General features: G+C 48.5%; 1 protein-coding gene and 1 long non-coding RNA gene across 13 annotated transcripts in view, besides 7 other annotated features; one reads left to right on the top strand and one right to left on the bottom strand.

Moving 5' to 3' along the window:
• Window positions 1–1,369: 1,369 nt before the first annotated feature.
• Window positions 1,370–22,281, bottom strand: FAM193B-DT (FAM193B divergent transcript). 2 transcript variants are annotated; one of them, XR_941274.3, is made up of 3 exons: window positions 21,980–22,281; window positions 11,316–11,435; window positions 1,370–1,790 (listed from the first exon to the last, which is right to left on the bottom strand). It is a non-coding gene; the product is annotated as an FAM193B divergent transcript (long non-coding RNA). The 2 variants fall into 2 exon arrangements; XR_007059074.1 differs by lacking the exon at window positions 1,370–1,790 and adding an exon at window positions 4,778–5,294 and having other exon boundaries at window positions 22,004–22,281.
• Window positions 15,400–15,568: a transcriptional cis regulatory region, noted in NCBI's record as "candidate enhancer chr5.4837 targeted for multiplex CRISPR interference". NCBI's record gives its function as "positively regulates DBN1 gene expression with high confidence in K562 cells {active_cell/tissue: K562}" and the evidence as "EXISTENCE:mutant phenotype evidence [ECO:0000015][PMID:30612741]".
• Window positions 19,479–19,925: a transcriptional cis regulatory region, noted in NCBI's record as "candidate enhancer chr5.4836 targeted for multiplex CRISPR interference". NCBI's record gives its function as "positively regulates DBN1 gene expression with high confidence in K562 cells {active_cell/tissue: K562}" and the evidence as "EXISTENCE:mutant phenotype evidence [ECO:0000015][PMID:30612741]".
• Window positions 22,088–22,237: an enhancer, noted in NCBI's record as "active region_23730". NCBI's record gives its function as "activates an Ori minimal core promoter by ATAC-STARR-seq in GM12878 lymphoblastoid cells {active_cell/tissue: GM12878}" and the evidence as "EXISTENCE:reporter gene assay evidence [ECO:0000049][PMID:35858748]".
• Window positions 22,088–22,737: a biological region, named in NCBI's record as "H3K27ac hESC enhancer GRCh37_chr5:176981263-176981766".
• Window positions 22,144–22,647: an enhancer, noted in NCBI's record as "H3K27ac hESC enhancer chr5:176981263-176981766 (GRCh37/hg19 assembly coordinates)". NCBI's record gives its function as "activates a minimal SCP1, AML or CMV promoter by ChIP-STARR-seq in primed H9 embryonic stem cells {active_cell/tissue: H9 hESC(primed)}" and the evidence as "EXISTENCE:reporter gene assay evidence [ECO:0000049][PMID:30033119]".
• Window positions 22,258–22,417: an enhancer, noted in NCBI's record as "active region_23729". NCBI's record gives its function as "activates an Ori minimal core promoter by ATAC-STARR-seq in GM12878 lymphoblastoid cells {active_cell/tissue: GM12878}" and the evidence as "EXISTENCE:reporter gene assay evidence [ECO:0000049][PMID:35858748]".
• The window catches only part of FAM193B (family with sequence similarity 193 member B), a 34,776-nt gene continuing 34,382 nt past the window's right edge, over window positions 22,346–22,739 (top strand). For all 11 annotated transcript variants that reach the window (XR_007058608.1, XR_427804.3, XR_007058607.1 and 8 more), the window contains exon 1: window positions 22,346–22,660. Coding sequence is in view for 8 of the 11 variants with exons in the window: in XM_011534572.2 (XP_011532874.1) it covers window positions 22,451–22,660 (210 nt within the window). In the remaining 3 variants the exon portion in view is untranslated. The remainder of the gene's footprint in view (window positions 22,661–22,739) is intronic.
• Window positions 22,528–22,737: a silencer, noted in NCBI's record as "silent region_16703". NCBI's record gives its function as "represses an Ori minimal core promoter by ATAC-STARR-seq in GM12878 lymphoblastoid cells {active_cell/tissue: GM12878}" and the evidence as "EXISTENCE:reporter gene assay evidence [ECO:0000049][PMID:35858748]".

Genomic DNA, 22,739 nt, shown 5'->3' with positions numbered 1-22,739 from the left:
TTTTTTGTATTTTTTTTTAGTAGAGACAGGGTTTCCCCGTGTTAGCCAGGATGGTCTCGATCTCCAGACCTCGTGATCCGCCTGCCTTGGCCTCCCAAAGTGCTGGGATTACAGGTGTGAGCCACCGCGCCAGGCACCTGTTTCTTTATACTTTTTTTAATATGGCTACTGGAAAATCTTCAAGTAACATATATGTCTTATTCTGTTCAAGTTGAATAGTGTTGCTCTATCTCTCCAGCCACCTCCTGAGGTCTCTCCTGTGAGCTCTGGGAGCTAGAAAGTTGACAACATGATTAAAATGAGCCTTAAGGCAGCTGGGATAGGGAATAGAGTAAGGGTTTGGATCAGACATGGATTGATTTCCAGGCTCTGAAATTCTCTAGTGGCATGCCTTCCAGTGAGACACTTACCATTTCTGACCTCGTAAATATAGTCTAAATGTTCCGTGGGACACTAAAGGCAAAGCATCGGGCACAACACCTGGCATGTAGTAGGGACTCAATCAGCAGGAGCTACTTTCCATCAGAGAGGGCGCTGCTCCAGTACTTGTTACTGTGCAAATATAACTAGACTGCAAATACAGGTCTAGACATGCCAATTTAATGGAGATCTGAGAGTTAAGAAATCTATTTCCTGGCCGGGCACGGTGGCTCACACCTGTAATACCAGCACTTTGGGAGGCTGAGGCAGGCGGATCGCCTGAGGTCAGGAGTTCGAGACCAGTCTGGTCAACATGGCGAAATCCTGTCTCTACTAAAAAATATAAAAATTAGCTGGGAGTGGTGGCAGACACCTGTAATCCCAGCTACTCGGGAGGCTGAGGCAGGATAATTGCTTGAACCCGGGAAGTGGAGGTTGCAGTGAGCCAAGATCACGCCATTGCACTCGAGCCTGGGTGACAGATTGAGACTCTGTCTCAAAAAGCAAAAAAAAAGAAAAGAAATCTGTTTCCTAAACTGGGGCAGCTTCCAAACCCCACTGGAGTGGGCCCGGGAACATCCTGCAGGAAACTGGGCAACAATTCATGTTTCAAGTTTCATGTGGCCTCAAGTGAACAAAAGATCAGTTCACAGGTGGGGCACTGGCTTTGGCCTGGTGAAAAGCAGGCAAAGATGTGTGAGCTCAGTTAGCTTTGGGAGAGTATCACAGGCAGGCAGGTGACATTTCCCTCTGATATGGCCCACTAAGAATAAGGGGGAGCAGTTTAGGGATCTTAGGCAGAATGACGTCTTCAAGTAGCCACTGAAGGGAATGATATCTGAGAAGAGAAAAATAGGACTGCTGGGTAGGGCTTGTAAAAAGTAAAGTAGAGGTTCTTCTTCAAAGACTTTCCTTCCCATCTAATTAGGAATAAATAGTAACTTCTCTTAGAAGCAAAATTTATTCAAAGACCTGTGCTAACATCTTAAATATCTGCTAGCCGTAATAAAGAAATCAATGTACTTTATGTTTTTAGCTCCCACAATTTAGCCTAAATATTTGCCCCGGCATGCTTATACTGGTCCAAGCAAGCATTAGGTCATAGCCTGTTCCTCTTCCTTATTTGAAGGTGTTTTTACCTTTCTCAGCATTCCACAAGTTACTTCCTCCTTCTTTTGTTCTCCTCTGCCTTTGCCTCTTTTAAAAAGTTCTAAGTTACTAGCCAATCAGGACAAATACAAAATGTGAGGTCCCGTTCCAGCCAATAAAAACCGGACACAGCAGGAAGGTGGACGCGTCAGGTTATAGATGACCCTGTCTCCTTTGTTCAGTGTACTCTCGTGGCAAAAGTGCTGGCGAGTGTATCCTTTCTGCAAAAAGTAAAAATGGCCTTGTTGAAGAAATTAAATTTATGTTCAAGTGCTATTTCTTTACAGCACCGAAAAACCAACATTTCTAACAGGCTGAAGGTCAAGGGAGAGATTGACCTTCTAGATCTCTCCCTTGGAGCTAGATCTGCAATGTGGCCAACCCAAAGGTTGTCTCCAAAGCCAGGAGAATAGAGCAAGCTGGATGAGGAGGTGGGCAGAATCCTGGGGAGGAAGGATGATTAGGGAGAGCTCAAAAGGAGGATGGCAGTCAGGAGAGTGGTGCCATGGCCTCCAGGGGATGTGGGTACATGAAGGCAGCAAGTGTCAGCCTTGGAGCCGTTGAGAGGGCTGATCCAGTGGAGGTGGAAGTTTCCAAGGCCCCCAAGACCTTACTCTCATGCTAATCCAGAGCAGCTTCTTGGCGTGAGGAAAACAGGAGCCAAGAGTGAAAGGGACGTGAGAATGTGTCTTCTGCTTTTTGGAAGGCAGGGAGAAAGGAAGGGCTATACCTGCAGGAGGGCCATATAGTCCATCCTCATTATTGTCATTGTCAAAAATAGGGTTGATAGGCCAGGCGCAGTGGCTCACACCTGTAATCCCAGCACTTTGGGAGGCCAAGGCAGTGGCTCACCTGAGGTCAGGAGTTCGGGACCAGCCTGGCCAACGTGATGAAACCCCGTCTGTACTAAAAATACAAAAATTAGCCAGGTGTGGTGGTGCATGCCTGTAATCCCAGCTACTCAGGAGGCTGAGGCAGGAGAATCACTTGAACCTGGGAAGTGGAGCTTCCCAGGAGCTTCGCCACTGAACTCCAGCATGGGTGACAAGAATGAAACTCTGTCTCAAGAAAAAAAAAAAAAAAAGGTTGATAGGTCATTTATATTCTTAGGCAGAAAATGTAGCAGAAACAGGATTTAAGATAACAGAAGAGAAAATAGAAGAAGCCAGGTCCTCAAAAAGGCGGGAGGAAGTGGAATCAGAACCCAGGTGGAGAGATTTATCTAGGATGGAAGGGAGTCCTTGACACCTGGGCCCGAAGGGACACAGAAAGAGAGGAGTCTGCGTCTTCTGTTCATGGCTCCACAGACATGCTGTGAAGAATCTGCTACACTGAGGAAGTCTGTAGGCAGGGACTGGGGTGTCCCACCTCTATTCTTGCCACTTTAGGAAAGAATGAGGATAGGGAATTTTTTTTTTTTTGAGACAGAGTCTTGCTCTATCACCCAGGCTGGAGTGCAGTGGTGAGATTTCGGCTCCCTGCAACTTCTGCCTCCAAGGCTCAAGCGATTCTCATGCCTCAGCCTCCCGAGTAGCTGGAAAAATAGGCATGAACCATCATGCCTGGCTAATTTTTGTATTTCTTGTAGAGATGGGGTTTAGCCATGTTGCCTAGGCTGGTATCAAACTCCCAGGCTCAAGTGATCGGCCGATCTCAGCCTCCCAAAGTGTTGGGATTACAAGCATGAGCCACTGTTCCCAGCTGGATGGGGAAAACTAAGAACCTGAAGGGAATCAGAACATGCCACCCAAAATATGCCACTTTGAGATATCAATTATTTTAAGCTAAAGGCAATTGAGACAAAGCAGATGCAGGAAGCGCTCTTTGACCTCCCACTTTCTACCTAAAAGAAGGGCATAAATTTCCCAAGAGAAAGGTGCCCTTCTTTTTTTTTTTTTTTTTTTTTTGAGATGGAGTCTCGCTCTGTCGTCCAGGCCCAAGTGCAGTGGCGCAATCTCGGCTCACTGCAAGCTCCGCCTCCCGGGTTCACGTCATTCTCCTGCCTCAGCCTCCTGAGTAGCTGGGACTACAGGCACCTGCCACCACGCCCGACTAATTGTTTGTATTTTTAGTAGAGATGGGTTTTCACCGTGTTAGCCAGGATGGTCTTGATCTCCTGACCTCGTGATCTGCCTGCCTTGGCCTCCCAAAGTGCTGGGATTACAGGCGTGAGCCACCGCGCCCAGCCGAAAGGTGCCCTTCTAATAACAGGAAGTGAAGAACATTATAATCACTGGAGATGAGGAGTCGATGCTGAAATGAATCTGTACAAAGCAAGCTTTATTCAAATAGCCCTTATCAAGCTGAGCACAGTAGCTTAACCAGTAATCCCAGCACTTTGGGAGGCTGAGGTGGGTGGATTACTTGAGGCCAGGAGTTTGAGACCAACCTGGGCAACATGGCAAAACGCCATCTCTACAAAAAAATTAGCCGGGCGTGGTGGCATGCACCTGTAGTCCCAGGTACCCAGGAGGCTGAAGTGGAAGGATCACTTGAGCCCAGGAGGTCAAGGCTGCAGTGGGCCGTGATCACACCACTGCACTCCAGCCTGGATGGCAGAGTGAGACTCTGTCTCAAAAAATAATAATAGCCCTATTAGCTGGGCACAGTGGCACACATCTATAGTCCTAGCCACACAGAAGACAGAGGTGGGAGGATCACTTGAGTCTAGGAGTTCAAGACCAGCCTGGGCAACATAGAAAGACCCTGTCTCTTAAAAAGAAAAGAAAAGAATTCATCTTTCATTAGCTTCCCCCATATATTCCTAGTCACTTTCCCACAATTTTTCAGTCCCAGCTCAAGTCCCTTTTTTCTTTGTCTTGTCACATGTCCACAATTTATCATTCATTGTTAAAATGGTTTATAAGCTGTTTCTTTGGGTCTTTATTTCTTTTTTAATTTACTTTTCTTTTTAATTTAATTAGAGACAGGGTCTCACTGTGTTGCCCAGGCTGGTCCCAAACTCCTGGGCTCAAGTGATCTTCCTGCCCTGGCCTCCCAAAGTGCTGGGATTACAGGCATAAGCCACTGTACATGGCCTGGGTCTTCATTTCTTTTCTAGGAAGGTGTCCATGTACACATAAAAATTAAAATTTTAACATCTAAATGTGCATGCTTTCCCCCGCTAATCTTCTTAGGTCAGTTCAATTCACAGAACCTAAGGGGGTAGAAGAGAAGTCAAGAAGTACCACTGAGGCAACTACTAAAGTGCACCCCACTAATTTAATGTGCTTTTTATTCTTTTTTTACTTTTAAAACAATGAACAATTTTAAAACAAAGATCAATTTTAAAAGATACTATTGAAATTCAATAAAACAACTTCATATATCAATTAAAATATGCACTTTCCCACTGTTTTACATGCTAAATACAAATAAATGTGGTCACGTACAGGATTATAGAAATGAAATAAATTCTGTTTCTTTGTCTTTAAAATCATCATACAGGCGAGGAGTGGTGGCTCTTGCCTCCAATCCCAGCACTTTGGAAGGCCGAGGCGGGAGGATTGCTTGAGCCCAGGAGTTCAAGTCCAGCCCGGGCAACAAAGAGAGACCTTGTCTCTACAAAAAATAAAAAAATTAGCCAGGCATGGTAATACACAGCTGTAGTCTCAGCTACTCAGGAGGCTGCATTGGGAGGATCGCTTGAGCCTAGAAGGTCGAGGCTGCAGTGAGCAGTGATCATGCCACTGCACTCCAGCCCGGGTTAGAGAGTGAGACCCTGTCTTGAAAAATAAAAAATAAAAAAATTAACAAATAAAAACATAATTTAAAAAGGAAAGATCATTATACTATCATTTTTTATTCTGAATCTTTAAACACAAGAATATGTACTGTCAGGGGGTTGGAGCCACAAACTGCCCTTGACTATAACTCAAACAATTCCAAACAGCTCCAATTTTACTTTTTTTTTTCGAGATCAAGTCTCACTCTGTTGTCCAGGCTGGAGTACAGTGATGCAATCTTGGCTCACTGCAACCTCCACCTCCGGGTTCAAGCAATTCTCCTGCCTCAGCCTCCCGAGTAGCTGGAATTACAGGCCTGCGCCACCACACCTGGCTGATTTTTGTATTTTTAGTAGACATGGGGTTTCACCATCTTGGCCAGGCTGGTCTTGAACTCCTGACCTCATGATCCATCTGCCTGGGACTCCCAAAATACTGGGATTACAAGTGTGAGCCACTGCACCTGGCCATATATATATATTTTTTTTTTCGAGACAGAGTCTTGTGTCTTGCTCTGTCACCCAGGCTGTAGTGCAGTGGCATGATCTCAGCTCATTGCAGCCTCCGCCTCCCAGGTTCCAGCGATTCTCCTGCCTCAGCCTCCCAGGTAGCTGGGATTACCGGTGCCCACCACCACTCCCGGCTAATTTTTTGTATTTTTAGTAGAGACGGGGTTTCACCATGTCGCCCACCTCAGCCTCCCAAAGTGCTGGGATTACAGGTGTGAGCCACCCCGCCCAGCCAATTTTACTCTTGAAATGAATGTTTCTCTGTTTTCATTTCAGAAAGCCGTTTGGGGGAGTTGGGGAGGAGACAACTGTATGACTGGGAGTTCTCACAATTAATTTCCACATAGAACACAATGTTTATTAAAGGGTAAATAAAAAATAATAATTTGAAGCATATATGTATATTATTAAAACTTATCAGCCAGGCATGGTGGCTGATGCCTGTAATCCCAGCACTTTGGGAGGCCTAGGCGGGAGGATCACCTGAGGTCAGGAGTTCAAGACCAGACTGGCCAACACAGTGAAACCCCATCTCTACTAGAAACACAAAAATTAGCCGGGCATGGTGGTGTGTGCATGTAATCCCAGCTACTCAGGAGGCTTAGGCAGGAGAATTGCTTGAACCCGGGAGGCAGAGGTTGCAGTAAGCCAAGATCATGCCACTGTACTCCAGCCTGGGCGATACAGTGAGACCCAGTCTCAAATAAAAAACAAACAAACAAACAAAAACTTATCAGTAACCCCAGCAATTGTTTATATTAATAACTTAGACCAACAGAAGCTGGTAAAATACTTCCCTGGGGAGTGTTTCATCAGTGACACTACTTAGAATTACCAGCACTTGGTGATGATAAAAAAAATGCAAACCAATTTTTAGTCAGTGTTATTGTTTTTAAATTCTCTGCAGACACATCCCTGACTGCCTGTACGCTGCACAGAAGCCTCACTTCCTGTCCTTGGTCAGCTGCCACCATCTTTACAGAGGAAAGAGCATGTGCAAAGGCCCTGAGGTGGGAGTATGGAGACCAAGGAAGGCAAGTGCCTGGGATACAGTGAGAAAGGGGAAAGGAAGAGCTCAGGAGGAGGAGGGCATCCGGTAAGGATTCTGGCTTTCACTCTAGGTGATATGCAGGTCTAGCTAACTCCAATTTTCACAGTCTGATGAATAATTGTCCAACAATTAATAATTGTCCAATAATGATAATATGATTGGCATGCTCCTGGGTGCATCTGAGTAGCTGGACAGCCAGAGGACTCGCCCCTGGGAGATAAAGGTATCACTGATATATGGGATATCATTTGCCAGATGAGACAGTGAGAAAATGCCTCTTCCAAGATCCAGGCTCTCTGAAGAGCTATCTTATCTGTGAAAATCCTCAGCACTACAAGGTGACCTCCAAGCAAGGATTTTTAGAGAGAGGTTGTCACTTTGTAAATAGCTGTGAAGATTTATCTGCAGAGGAAAAAGTAACCAGGTTAGTTTCTTCCCATCTCCCCAAGCAATGCCCCTCTTCTGGGTCAGAAAATGAGGGAAGGCTTTGAAATGGGGGAAAGGAAGCTACTCCCAAACTTAAGGCTGCAAATGCCGTCCAGCCCAGCATCAGAGAACCTCTGGAGGCTGTCACAGGGAAGAACTGCTTTTCCTTTCAAGGAGACAGCCAAGGCAAGCCACATCCCCTGGGCCCTACTACTGTTTTCTCCCTCCCCAGAGCCACTGAGTGGCAGAAATGAAGAGGACAGAGCCCCAGCCTCCCAAGGGCACTCCAGCTGCACCAGAAAAGCACCCCCACCACCCCACCCCGCTGCCCTGCTGGACCTCTGACCACACCGTGGGGCCCCAGCAGCAAAAGCAGCCAGAGAAAAACAGAGTGCTTCCGGGGCTTCTCCAAGCTTTCCAGGGTTCTATCCTGCAAAATCCTCACCCAACTGGCCGGGCACCTGAGTTGCAGACAGTGCAGGGAGGTGAGGGAAAAAAGACATTCTTGGAATAGTAAATAGGGCTCCAGGCCAATTAATATGAACTTTTTTTTGTTTTTTTTTGAGACGGAGTCTCGCTCTGTCGCCCAGGCTGGAGTGTAGTGGCACGATCTTGGCTCACTGCAAGCTCTGCCTCCCGGATTCACGCCATTCTTCTGCCTCAGCCTCCCAAGTAGCTGGGACTACAGGCGCCCACCACCACGCGTGGCTAATTTTTAGTATCTTTAGTAGAGATGGGGTTTCACCATGTTAGCCCAGACAGTCTCGATCTCCTGACCCTGTGACCCGCCCGCCTCGGCCTCCCAAAATGCTGGGGTTACAGGCATGAGTCACCGCACCTGGCCTGATGTGCCTCTTTCTCCTGGCCCTGAAGATGTCCCTTACTTCCTTTGAAGCTGAACAATGCATCTACATTTTGTATCATATTTTGTGTCTGGAGTGGAAGGACTCCTCTTCCCCTCTGCCTTGGCTGGAGACAACCTCCCTTGGGTAGCCAGCCTCCAAGGTGGCCTCGATGACTCATATTTCCTAGTGTTCACGCTCCTGTGTTGTCCCCCTTCACACCAAAGAGGGTCAGTCTGTGTAACCAATAGGATGCGGAGAGGCCCACACGGTGAGGACAGGGGCCTCCCACCAGCAGCCTGACTGCACCCTCATGGGTGTGGCTCCTCCAGCCCCATCGAGCCTGCAGATGGCTGCAGCCCCTAGTGACATCTTTCTTTTTTTTTTTTTTTTTTTCAAGATGGAGTTTCTGCTCTGTCACCCAGGCTGGAGTGCTGTGGTGCGATCTCGGCTCACTGCAACCTCTGTCTCCCAGGTTCATGCAATTCTCCTGCCTCAGCCTCCCGAGTAGCTGGGATCACAGGTACCCACCACCACACCCAGCTAATTTTTGTATTTTTAGTAGAGACAGGGTTTCACCATGTTGGCTAGGCTGGTCTTAAACTCCTGACCTCAAGTGATCCACCCGCCTTGGCTTCCCAAAGTGCTGGAATTACAGGCATGAGCCACTGCACCCAACCTTCGAGTGACATCTTGCCCTCACCTTTCATGAGAGATGCTGAGTCAATCCACCACCTAGCTAGGCCACTCCCAAATTCCCAGCCTGAAGAAACTACATGAAATAATAAATGCTTATTTTTGTTTTAAGCCACACTAAGTTTTGGTGTAATTTGTTACTTACCTCTTCTCTCCAATTAAGTATCCTTCAATAAACCACCCCCACACCTTTATCCAGACCCCCTGTCATGGGCACTCTGGGTGTGAGATCCTATGTGAGGTCCCCATTCCCTGCAGATGCTCCTGGGGTGGGCTTCAAGCCTATTGGAGTTCACGTGCCTTGCAGACCATGAGAGCTCTTGTCTCCTGGCCCAACTCTAAGCCAAGAGATATCAGTGGGACCAGGAAGTGAGTGGGTTAGGTGACCAGCAGATTTCCCATCTGCACTCTGCCCTAATCAGAATGACTTCCTGCCGGACCACGCATTTTCAGATGTGTAGGTGAGACCCTTCTTAATGTCCAGTGATGAGGACTCATTGTTCCTATTTGGTTTGCCTATTTCAGCAGGCGCTCAGAAAAGGCTATGCATCAGAAGCATGGATGTGGAGAGCCATTTCAGAACGGAAACTACTGAAACCCTCAGTTACATTATGACATCTATTAGAAAATTCACTCTGGGGCGGTGCATGGCAGGGCTGGAAGGTATAAATGTCTGGAGGCAGGGGGCCCTGAGATAAGGCTGTTATTGTCCAACAGAGCAGTGACGACTTCGCTATCTTTCCGTAATAAGTCATTTTGTTAGCTGACCTTTTTTCTTTCTTTCTTTTTTTTTTTTTTTTTTTTTTTTTTTGATGAAGTCTTGCTCTTGTCGCCCAGGCTGGAGTGCAATGGCACGATTTCAGCTCACTGCAACCTCCACCTCCTGGGTTCAAGCAATTCTTCTGCCTCAGCTTCCCAAAATGCTGGGATTACAGCATGAGCCACTGCACACAGCCTTGTTAGCTGACTTCTGACGGGCAGGCTGCATTAGTTATTGGAGGCACTGAGAACCACACACTGCATTTCTATTTTTTGAGAGGGAGTCTCACTCTGTTGCCCAGGCTGGAGTGCAGTGGTGGGATCTCGGCTCACTGTAACCTCCACCTCCCAGATTCAAGTCATTCTCCTGCCTCAGCCTCCTGAGTAGCTGGGATTACAGGCATGAGCCACTGTGCCTGCCCACATACCACATTTCAAGATGCCCTGGACTTTAACTGTCTGTGCCAGGCTCTTGTTAGGGTGCTCTTGTTTTTGGACACCCTACTGTATGTGCCAGGCACTGTGCTAACGTCTCCATTTATATCTCACAATGCCATAAGACACTCTTTTTGTTTGTTTGTTTTTCAGATGGTGTCTCACTCTGTTGCCCAGGCAGGAGTGCAGTGAAGTAATCTTGGCTCACTGCACTCTCCACCTCCCAGGTTCAAGCCATTCTCCTGCCTCAGCCTCCCAGGTAGCTGGGATTACAGGTGCACACCACCACACCCAGCTAACTTTTGCATTTTTAGTAGAGACAGGGTTTTACCATGTTGGCAAGGCTGGTCTCGAGCTCCTGGCCTCAAGTGATCCATTCACCTCGACCTCCTGAAGTGCTGGGATTATAGGCGTGAGCCACCACACCCAGCCAAGACACTACTTTTATCCCTGTTCTCTAGATGGTGAGACTGAGACCCAGAGAAACTGAGGACTTTCCTGGAGTCACGCAGCTAGCAAGTGGCAGAGCTTTTAACTTAACTCTGTCTGACTCCCAAGCCTTTCCACTACAATGTACAGCAGAGTGAGTCCACAGATGGCTTCAAAGAAGAAGGCACCCTTGACCTGGTCCTTGAAGGATCAGCACAAGTTTATCAGCCCTGGGAGGCATAAGGGAGAGAATCCAGAGAGTTGAGCACATCAAAGTTGTAAGATGTGGCTAAAACCCAGGGTTCAAGGTGGAGAGTGATGGGGAAAGATGCTGCTGTCAGGCAAAGTCCAGAAGGAAATACCAGGCCTGGGCTGAGCGTGGTGGCTCACCCCTGTAATCCCAGCACTTTGGAAGGCCAGAGGCAGGCGGATCACTTGAGGTCAGGAGTTTGAGACCAGCCTGGCAAACATGGCAAAACTCCGTCTCTATTACAAATACAAAAATTAGCCGGGTATGGCGGCGCATGCCTGTAGTCCCAGCTACTCAGGAGGCTGAGGCAGAAGAATTGCTTGAACCCAGGAGGCGGAGGTTGCGGTGAGCCAAGATCTCGCCACTGCACTCCAGCCTGGGCGACAGAGCGAGACTCCGACTCAAAAAAAAAAAAAAAGAAAGAAAGAAAGAAAAAAAAAATACTTGGCACTTATTCTTCAGGCAGGGGGCCTCCTGAGTTGTTGTAAGCAGGGGTGACAGGGCCAGACTTAGTGTTTCAAGATAGCACTGGGAGCAGCATCAAGACTGGTTTGGACAGTGGTTCTCCACAGTACTGTGTTTGAGAATCACCTGGAGGTTTGTAAAAAAAAAAAAAAAAAATACCTGAAATCCACCTCAAAGTGTCTGATTCAGTGGGGCTGGAGAGTGGCCCACGGATCTGCATGTCAGTCCATTTTCCAAGTTTTTATGACACAAGTGGTCACTTGAGGAAACACCAGTAATCTAGAAGGGAGAAGAAGCAAGGAGATTAGTTACCAAGCTGCTGCCAGAAGTAAATGATGAGTCCTGAACTTGAACAGTGGTGAGGAAAATGGAAACAACAGGATAACGTTTGTCTAATGTTGCCATTTGTTTTTCTTTTTCTCTAGTAATTCACATCTGCCCTCCCACCCCCGCTCTCAAATAGCTAGTCCATTCTGTGCTCATTGCACCTCAGGGGCGGGACATGACGGTGCAGAAAACAGAAACAAGAGTTCTGGTTATGATGCACTGGATTTGTTTCAACACAGGCGTGGGGAGAGAAGGTAGAGGTACAGATGAATCAAACAGGCCATGTGTGCCAGGCGCGGTGGCTCACACCTATAATCCCAGCACTTTGGGAGGCCGAGGAGGATGGATCACCTGAGGTCAGGAGTTCAAGACCAGCCTGGCCAACATGGTGAAACCCTGTCTCTACTAAAAATACAAAAATTAGCTGACCATGATGGCAGGTGCCTATATTCCCAGCTACTCGGGAGGATGAGGCAGGAGAATCACTTGAACCTGGGAGGCAGAGGTTTCAGTGAGCTGAGATCATGTCATTGCACTCCAGCCTGGGAGACAGAGCGAGACTTTGTCTCAAAAAAAAAAAAAAAAAATAGGCCATGTGCGAGATAAGATGGTGCATCCCTGTAGTCCCAGCTACGTGGGAGCCTGGGAAGTGAGGATTGCTTGGACCCAGGAATATGAGTCCATCCTGGGTGACAGAGCAAGATCTCTTCTCTTTAAAAAATGGCCAGCCAGGCACGATGGCTCACGCCTGTAATCCCAGCACTTTGGGAGGCCGAGGCAGGTGGATCACGAGGTCAGGAGATCGAGACCAGCCTGGTAACACAGTGAAACCCCGTCTACTGAAAATACAAAAAATTAGCCGGGCATGGTGGCACGTGCCTGTAGTCCCAGCTACTCGGGAGGCTGAGGCAGGAGAATAGTGTGAACCCGGGAGGCAGAGCTTGCAGTGAGCTGAGATCGTGCCATTGCACTCCAGCCTGGGCAACAGAGTGAGACTCCGTCTCAAAAAAAAAAAAGAAAAAGTGGCCATGAGTTGATAGCTGCTGAAGCTGACTGATGGTTGCATGAGGACATGGGGATTTATTACGGAATTCTGTCTATACTTGTCTATGTTTTAAAGGTCTGTAATAAAAATATCTTTAAAAATATTTCTGGATTTGGTTTCAAAAGGACTTAGAGAAAAGAAGTCTCAGACATAGCTGAAAAGTTCCAAGAAACATCAAGAGCAAGAGGAGAGGGAGGAAGGATTAGGAGAGATGCCTATTCCTCACTCTTTCCAGGTGGTAGGGCCCCACAGGCCTGCTACTTCTGCATCATGGGGAGAGAATGAGTCCTCTGATCAGTGCGTCTGGAGAATCGGGTGCATGATCTGCTCTGTTCTGCCCTTCTTCCTCTTGGGATCTCCCTGCCTACAATGGGTCCACACCCACTGCCCCTACAGGGATTCTGAGAGGGAGGCCTACCCAGCCCAGTACTGCCACAACTCAGGGGCTGCGGGGGGTGTCTGCCTAACTTGGGGGCTCAGTCATCAGCCCACACCAAGCAACATACTCTGACCTGGGGCATGACTTAGTTGGTAATAAGGCTGATATTGTGACTCCATCTGCCTTTCCTTTGCTTCATTTCCCAGTGTGTTTAGAACCCTGGTCAGGGAGACAGGGCCATCTCTTGAGGGTCTTCCAGAGACCCTAAAACAGAGGTTTCTGGAGGCTAGAGAAAAGGAAGGAAGGAAGTGAAGAAGAGAATGGAGGTAAGTGACAACAACATCTGAGGGGCCCAGAGAGGGGGCACAAAATCCAAGAGCAGAGGGAACTTATCCCAGGAAGCAGGAACAGTCAGCATGGAACGCCAATGAGGTGTGTCTAGGAGAAGACCTTAGATAGCCTCACCCAGATTCCCACAGGCAAGAATGGCTGGAGGAGGAAAGCCAGCTGTGGGGAAGAACGAGCCAGGTCTCAGCACCAACCAGTGGGGACCAATGACCTCTCCATGAATGCCTGTGGGGACAGATGACACTAAGAACTAGATTCCCCCAACACACACACTCATAAGGCCCTGAGCCCTTATGCACAGCCTCAGGGAACCCTAAATTAGCTGAGATTAAATTTCTGTCACTCCAGCAGAGTGCCAAGTGGAAATTAGGTGGAGTTATAGAAAACTTTATATTTCTTGCACACGTGGGTTTATGAACAGAGATTCATCCTAACCGGAGTAAATATTTTGGAAGCAGAATCAACAAGACTTAGAGGTCAGATGAAGCCGGAGTGGTGAACAACAGGAAGTCTCTCCTCCCTTATTTGGGAGGTTTGTTTCCTAAACACCCCAGGCAAATTCAGGTTCTTCAACACTGTCTGTGATGTTTTATTCCTTCCCCTGGTGGTGTTCCCTCATAGGGCCTTTAGTGTAGGTTTAATTGTTCTTGCCCAGTTAAGTAATAATCAGGAGTAATTACCATTTACTTTAATAATGCAATCTAGTAGCAATTTACTATTCGTAGAAAAAGAGTATCTGTTAAAAATATACCATTAAAACTTTTAATAATAGTTACTATAACATTTAGGCCTGGAAAAGATCAAGGCAAAGTCCAGCAGGCTTCACCTCCCCAGAGGGCCTTACCTGGATTTCCCTATTTCCTTCTTCCTCTGTGCCCCAGCTCCATCACCCTAGAGGAAGGTCCAATCTCACCCTGGGATTCAAGATCCCTCATACCCGACCCCATCTCTCACCCTCTGCAACCATATTTCCTCTCCTCTAAACTCCTTTTGCCCAAAGGTGCAAGCCCATTCTCAAGGTTAGAAGGAGGAGGACTGAGGAAGAGGGGATCAGAGTTGGTTTCCTCCCTCAAAAAGTGCTAAGAAATCCCTCTGTCTGGCTGAGGTCCAACTCCAGAACTCAAGGAGAGGAAGGGGCTTGGATCTGCTTTCCTCTGTGATGAGGGGGATTGGACAGATGGTGCTCAGTGACTTCCCTGGGGCTGGCTGAAGCACACACCTGTGAGGCTCATTAGCACCCAACATTACCTGTGCCGATGGGAAACAATGCTGAAATGGTAATCTAGTTTACATTGCCCTTGCAATTTCCCCTTCCTTCCTCTCCACGCGAGCAACTAGGGATTCCATGCCTGTTGCCTTGGGAGGGGAGACTAAGTCACAGGGTGGAAAGGAGGAGGCCTTGCAAACCATCCTGGATTTGGGGTTCCAAAAGCCCAAGCGCTTAGTGGCTTTCAAAACTTTTACTTGCAGTGGCGTGGTGGTTCATACCTGTAATCCCAGCACTTTGGAAGGCCAAGGTGTGTAGGGTCCAGCCCCACAGGGTCAGTGGGTTTTTCTCCCCGTGTGCAGAGACGAGAGATTGTAGAAATAAAGACACAAGACAAAGAGATAAAAGACAGCTGGGCCCAGGGGACCACTACCACCAAGACACAGAGACCAGTAGTGGCCCCGAATGCCTGGCTGCACTGTTATTTATTGGATACAAAGCAAAAAGGGCAGGGTAAAGAGTGTGAGTCATCTCCAATGATTGATAAGGTCTCGTGAGTCACGTGTCCACTGGACAGGGGCCCCCTCCCTGTTTGACAGCCAAGGCGGGGGGAGAGAGAGAGAGAGGACAGCTTACGCCATTATTTCTGCATATCAGAGACTTTTAGTACTTTCACTAATTTTGCTACTGTTATCTAAAAGGCAGAGCCAGGTGCACAGGATGGAACATGAAGGCGGACTAGGAGCGTGACCACTGAAGCACAGCATCACAGGGAGACGGTTAGGCCTCCGGATAACCGTGGGCTGGCCTGACTGATGTCAGGCCCTCCACAAGAGGTGGAGGAGTAGAGTCTTCTCTAAACTCCCCCGGAGAAAGGGAGACTCCCTTTCCCGGTCTGCTAAGTAGCGGGTGTTTTCCTTGGCACTGACACTACTGCTAGACCACGGTCTGCTTGGCAACGGGCGTCTTCCCAGATGCTGGCGTTATGGAGACCAAGGAGCCCTCTGGTGGCCCTGTCCAGGCATAACAGAAGTCTCCCACTCTTGTCTTCTGGTCACTTCTCACTATATCCCTTCAGCTCCTATCTCTGTATGGCTCGGTTTTTCCTAGGTTATGATTGTACAGCAAGGATTATTATAATACTGGAATATAGAGTAATTGCTACAAACTAATGATTAATGATATTCATATATAATCATGTCTATGATCTAGATCTAGTATAACTCTTATTGTTTTATATATTTTATTATACTGGAACAGCTCGTGTCCTTGGTCTCTTGCCTTGGCACCTGGGTGGCTTGCTGCCCACAAAGGTGGGTGGATCACTTGAGATCAGGAGTTCAAGACCAGCCTGGCCAACATGGTGAAACTCTGTCTCTACTAAACATACAAAAATTAGCCGGGTGTGGTGGCACACGCTTGCAATCCCAGCTACTCGGGAGGCTGAGGCAGGAGACTCACTTGAACCCGGGAGGTGGAGGTTGCAGTGAGCCGAGATTGTGCCACTGCACTCTAGCCTGGGGGACAGAGCAAGACTCCGTCTCAAAAAAAAAAAAACTTTTACTTGTATGTCCCCTAAAAGCAGTTAAAAACTTTTACTTGTATGTCCCCTAAAAACAGTTAAAAACTATACAACTTATGTAGCTCGTCCTGTGTCCTGCAACATAAATTATAGTGCCCAGAGCAAAATGAAAATGTGGGCCCTTTGTTCAAACATTAAGAACTTCAAGGCTGGGAGTGGTGGCTCACGCCTGTAATCCCAGCACTTTGGGAGGCCGAGGCGGGTGGATCACGAGGGCAGGAGATGGAGACCATCCTGGCTAACACGGTGAAACCTCGTCTCTACTAAAAATACAAAAAAATTAGCCGGCGTGGTGGTGGGCGCCTGTAGTCCCAGCTACTCGGGAGGCTGAGGCAGAATGGCGTGAACCCGGGAGGCGGAGCTTTCAGTGAGCTGAGATCGCGCCACTGCACTCCAGCCTGGGCGAAAGAGCGAGACTCCATCTCCAAAAATAAATAAAGAAAGAAAGAATTTGGGGGGGGGTCAGCCCCCCGCCCGGCCAGCCGCCCAGTCCGGGAGGTGAGGGGCGCCTCTGCCTGGCCGCCCCTACTGGGAAGTGAGGAGCCCCTCTGCCTGGCCAGCCGCCCCGTCCGGGAGGGAGGTGGGGGGGTCAGCCCCCCGCCCGGCCAGCCGCCCCGTCCGGGAGGGAGGTTGGGGGGTCAGTCCCCCGCCCGGCCAGCCGCCCCGTCCGGGAGGTGAGGGGCGCCTCTGCCCGGCCGCCCCTACGGGGAAGTGAGGAGCCCCTCTGCCCGGCCAGCCGCCCCGTCTGGGAGGGAGGTGGGGGGGTCAGCCCCCTGCCCGGCCAGCCGCCCCATCCGGGAGGTGAGGGGTGCCTCTGCCCGGCCGCCCCTACAGGGAAGTGAGGAGCCCCTCTGCCCGGCCACCACCCCATCTGGGAGGTGTGCCCAACAGCTCATTGAGAACGGGCCAGGATGACAATGGCGGCTTTGTGGAATAGAAAGGGGGGAAAGGTGGGGAAAAGATTGAGAAATTGGATGGTTGCCGTGTCTGTGTAAAAAGAAGTAGACATGGGAGACTTTTCATTTTGTTCTGTACTAAGAAAAATTCTTCTGCCTTGGGATGCTGTTAATCTATAACCTTACCCCCAACCCCGTGCTCTCTGAAACATGTGCTGTGTCAACTCAGGGTTAAATGGATTAAGGGCGGTGCAAGACGTGCTTTGTTAAACAGATGCTTGAAGGCAGCATTCTCATTAAGAGTCATCACCACTCCCTAATCTCAAGTACCCAGGGACACAAACGCTGCGGAAGGCCGCAGGGTCCTCTGCCTAGGAAAAGCAGAGACGCTTGTTCACATGTTTATCTGCTGACCTTCCCTCCACTATTGTCCTATGACCCTGCCAAATCCCCCTCTGTGAGAAACACCCAAGAATGATCAATAAAAAAAAAAAAAAAAGAAAGAAAGAAAGAATAAAGAATTTCAAGGAAGCGACAGCAGAGCACTGAGCCAGGCACACAGCCCTTCTGGGCGTGGAGCCCTATGTGGTGGCACAGGTTATGTATCTATGAAGCCAATCCTGCTCTCACATGTTAACATGTACAAAATACATGTTTAAACAGTTGTATGTGATACAATTTCACTATATTGTGCATTGTATACTTGTTTTAAATATATTTTATTTTCATTTTTTTAAGGGATTTTTATTTTTTTAAGGCGTCTCGCTTTGTCACTCAGGCTAGAGTGCAGTAGCATCTTTTTACCTCACTGGAGCCTCGAACTCTTGGGCTCAAGGGATCCTCATGCCTCAGCCTCCCTAGTAGCTAGGACTACAGATGAGTGCCATCACGCCCAGCTAAATTTTTAATTTTTTGTAGAGATGGAGGGTCTCACTATGTTGATTGGGCTGGTCTCAAACTCCTGGCCTCAAGTGATCCTTCTAGCTTGGCTTCCCAAAGTGCTGAGAGTACAGGCGTGAGCCACTGCACCCAGACTTTATTTATTTCTTACAGATACAGGGTCTTGCTTTATCACCCAGACTGGACTGCAGTGGCAGTGATCACAGCTCACTACAGCTTTGAATTCCTGGGCTCAAGCAAGCCTCCCAGCTCAGCCTCCTAAGTAGCTGGGACTACAGGCACATACCACCATGCCAGCTTTTTTTTCCTTTCTTTCTTTTTTGGAGAGACAGGGTCTTGCTTTGTTGCCCAGGCTAGTCTCAAACTCCTGGCTTTAAGTGGTCCTCCCACAGTGTTGGAGGTACAGGCATGAGCCACTGCGCCCAGCCTGTACTGGGCTTTAAATATATTTTCTTCCAGTTCTCAGAGCAGCATAATAAGCTAATTTAATGCATGAGAAATGTTTGTCATGACTGCTCATCAGCACTGAATGGATACAAAATGTGATACTTCCATACAATGGAATACTACTCTGCAGTATAAAGGAATGAGCTATCTAAACACGCTACAATATGGATGAATCAAAATAATTATGCTGCAGGAAAGATGCCTGGCAAAGCAGAATACATACTGTATGAAAATGCAAAATATTCTGTAGAAACAGAAGGCAGATCAGTGCTGCCTGGGGAGAGAGGAAGAAGTAGGAGGGAAGGATTATCCTCTGGGGGAACCATACAGTGGAATTCTCCCCAATGGCGCGTGAGTAAAAGTGATGTATATTCATTTCTGGGTACAGCTCATAGAAATGTCCCATGCAACCCTCACTTTTTTGCCTTTCCCATCCTCTGGATGAATGAAGAGGACTTTGAGAGCCGAGGTGAAGACAGAGCCACAAGATCCAAGGAGACTGGATCCCTGAGTGACTGCAAAGTCCCCTTCAACAGGCATTGGCCTGCGACACGAGGTAGACGAGATCTAAGGTGTTAAAACTCTTGCTATGTGAGGTTGGTTTGTTACAGCAGCTAACCAGCCCTAATACATAGTCCAAAGTAATCATCCTGCTAGAAGAGAGTCAGGTGTGCCCCTCAGAGTAAGGTTCCACACGGACCTCTGGCTGGTTCCTGCAAATTGGACTCAGCACTGAGAGTAGATAGGTCAGCCAGCCTCAGGGAGGAGACAGTCCAAATTGCTGAGCCAGTTTTCTCATGCAGCCATTGAATAAGTTCTTAAATAGCTGGGAAGAGACAGTCTGACAGCCACAGAAGGGGCCATACTGCCCATCGGACTTTTAAGAGGTTCTTTTGATGAACGTTCATCTGGGACACAAATAGCCTTATGTTCTGAAGCCATTCTGGACAATCTTTCCACATCTGTCATCCTCAGAACTTCCTGTCACTAAGCCTGCAGTCTTTTTTTCCCTCAAGTCCCTCAACAACAGAGTAAATCATGATCCAATGGCCAGGAATTGATGTGTCTTTATTTCAGGGTCTTTGCGTGGATTTCCCTTTTCTGTGCCCTTGGGCCCTGTCTGAGGAAGACTAGAACACTCTAGCAATTTGCTTCTGGCTGGAGCCAGCACACCATGCAGAGCCATCTGCAAACTGGACTTTGGATTTTTCTTCCTTAGTCAACTCATCATTAAACCGTTCATGAAACCACTGATCCAGGTTGAAGGATGGAATGGAGAAGAGGGTGGCAGCAGAGGAATGTAAGTAACTTGCTCTGGCAACCTACTTGTGCTTTAGGACTTGCATGGACCCAACCCACACATGTCACTTCCTCTCGATGACAGGGTGTTGCTGAGCACCCCTGATTTTATGGCTGAGTAGATCAGATAACACTCAGTTCAGGTCACGTGGTCACCTAGTAGGCCAGGATCAGGCATCCAATTTCACCAGACCCCTGAAGCAAGCCAGGAGCTATTTCTAAAATGGAATATAACTATTTGCTGAAGGAAAGCATAAGTTTGCTCCAAAATCCAATGCTTGAGTATTAAGACCAAAGCCAGAACTATTTACTCTGCAGCCTGGTCCACTAAGAAAAGTTTCTCTTTTTGTATGATCCTGCCTTAAAGTTGGCAGCTTTCAAGTGACCCAGTAACTGGTCAAAATAACGTACCTAAGTACAGGCCGGGCGCGGTGGCTCATGCCTGTAATCCCAACACTTTGGGAGGCTGAGGCCGGAGGTTCAGGAGGTCAGGAGTTCGAGACAAGCCTGACCAACATGGTGAAACCCTGTCTCTACTAAAAATACAAAAATTAGCTGAGCATGGTGGTGCGCGCCTGTAACCCCAGCTACTCCGGAGGCCAGCAGGAGAATCACTCAAACCCGGGAGGCAGAGGTTGCAGTGAGCAGAGATCCCGCTACTGCACTCCAGCCTGGGTGGCAGAGATTCCATCTCAAAATAATAATAATAATAATAATAATAATAATAATAATAATAATAATAATAATGTATCGAAATACATCTATGTTACCTACCAAGTCTAAAGAAGCCCCAGCCCAAGTATTGCACCTCTTCCCTAGTAGGGAGTGTGATCTACAGCAGCTTTCCCTTCACTTTGTACGAAATATCTCAACATATCCCAGACTCCTAGATGGCTTACTGCGAGGCCCCTATATATTTGTGAGATTTATTATCCATCCTCTGGCACACACATCATGCCTTACCAAATCATCCAGGATATCTGCTATTCCCTTTTCTTAAGGTCCATCAAGATGATGTCATCAGTGCCTCAGCAGATTAGCCTGATATCCATTAGAATGGAGATTTAGTAAAAAAAATCCCTGTAAACTGGCAGGGTGCAGTGGCTCCGCCTGTAATCCTAGCACTTTGGGAGGCCGAGGCAGGTGCATCACCTGAGGTCAAGAATTCGAGACCAGCCTGGGCAATACGGGGAAACCCCGTCTCTACTAAAAATACAAAAAAATTAGGGGGCGTGGTAGCATGTGCCTCTAATCCCAGCTAATCTGGAGGCTGAGGCACGAGAATCCCTTGAACCCAGGAGGCGGAGGTTGCAGTGAGCTGAAATTGCGCCACTGCACTCCAGCCTGGGAGATAGAGTGAGACTCTGTCATTAAAAAAAAAAAAAAAAAAAATCCCTGTAAACTAAGTGGCTGGGTCCAGAGTGTGACATACCCTGAAGCAAGACAGTGAGGGTTTACCGCTGCCCCTGCCAGATCAATGCAAGGGATTCCTGGTGTTTGGTACAGAAGAATAACCATTGACCAGACCTCTTGTTGCCTATTAGAGACCAACAACTGTGCTGATCTGTCCCAAGAAGGACCGCATCTGGAAGAATGCCTGCAGTTGGGGTTCTTACCAGAATAAGTAAGTTTATCATAATGCTCTGTTGTTCTTCAAGGCCGTCTCTCTTCTGTTCTGGGCAAACTGAAGAGGTAATGGTGATGTGATGGGACTCACCCTGCGTCTTTCAAATCTTTGATAGTGGCATTAATCCCTGGGTGAGATAAGGTACTATTTTTGATTTATTTTCTTGGTAGTTAAGGAGAGCTCCAGGGCCTTCCATGTAGCTCTTCCTTTCAAAATAGCCCTTGCCCCATGGGTTAGGAAGCCAGTGTCAGGATTCCGCCCCTGTTGATACCAATAGCAACTCTGCATATAACCACAATTTCAGAGTACATAGCCCAGGCATGAGACAGACTTCACTCAAAACTTTTTTTTTTTAATCTGTGCCATGTACATGTATTATACAGTATATTCACAAAAAGAGGGGGGAAATTCCATTTTTAACAATTAAATACATAATTATTAAGTTTTAAAAATTCTCCTTTGTGTACCACTCCAAAATCCTCTCCTGCACATACTATTTTTTTGGAAACACCTAGTCGTCTCATCGTTATCACACCGGTTGTAACTATGTACCTACGTGTCTACCTTCCCCATCAGACTCGGGAACAAGGAGTCGGGTTTGAGTCCCACTGTCCCAAGCACAGAACGCTGGACTCCCAGTAGACCATATGTTGCAAATAAAGACCTTCGTCCCTTTCAACTCAGGCCGTCCACGAGCCCAGGAGTTCCAACAAAATGATGTACAGCAACCTTTTCCAGGCCTTTATGTTGCCTCAATATTTCTCACCTGCAAAATGGGAATGATCCGTACCTGCCTCGCTGTGCTGTCGGAAGGAGTCAGACGATGGGTGTGAAAGTATTGTAACACTATAGAAATTAATTCACTCATCCATTTAACAGGCAATTATTAAGTGCTAGGGTGGTGCAGCGCGATTACCACCGCATTACACGCGTTCCTCCAGCAGGTTGCATCCTTCCCGTCCCGCGTAGGGGGGGAAGGGCGTCTCCCCACCAAGTTTTTCTCCCAGCGAACTCCGGGTGGTGACCTTATTCAAAATGGCGCAGGCGGCCTCGGGGGCTAGTGCGGCGGCGCGGACTCCGCGTGCCCTCTGACCTGTTGGCAGCAGGCGGAGGGGGGGAACCGGGCGCCGCCATATTGGCTGTTGTCCTGTGAGGGGAGCGGTAGCGGCGGCGGCGGCGGCGGCGGCGGCGGCGGCGGCGGCGGCGTGTGGAGCGAGGGAGCGGCGCGAGCGGCGGCATGACGCGGAGGCGGAGCAGGCCGAGCGGCGGTGCGGGCAGGCGCGAGCGGGCTCGGGCCGCGGGGCCGCAGAAGCCCCAGGCGCCCGAGCCCCCGCCGCCGCCAAGCCTGGAGGCGGGAGCGGGTGCAGGCCCTCCGGAGGCGCCGGCGGAGCCCGACCACGACGGCCCCAGGGAGGATGACGAACCCAACCTGGTGCCCGGCCCGCAGGTAGGAGCGAGCGGGGAGACTTCGGCGGCTCGGGCGCTTTCACCTTCCCCGAGCGGGAGCGGGAGTGGGGCGGGGTTGG

This window comes from Homo sapiens, chromosome 5, assembly GCF_000001405.40.
Source record: "Homo sapiens chromosome 5, GRCh38.p14 Primary Assembly".
NCBI classification, from domain to species: domain Eukaryota; kingdom Metazoa; phylum Chordata; class Mammalia; order Primates; family Hominidae; genus Homo; species Homo sapiens.
This window is presented reverse-complemented; position numbering and strand designations above follow the sequence as displayed.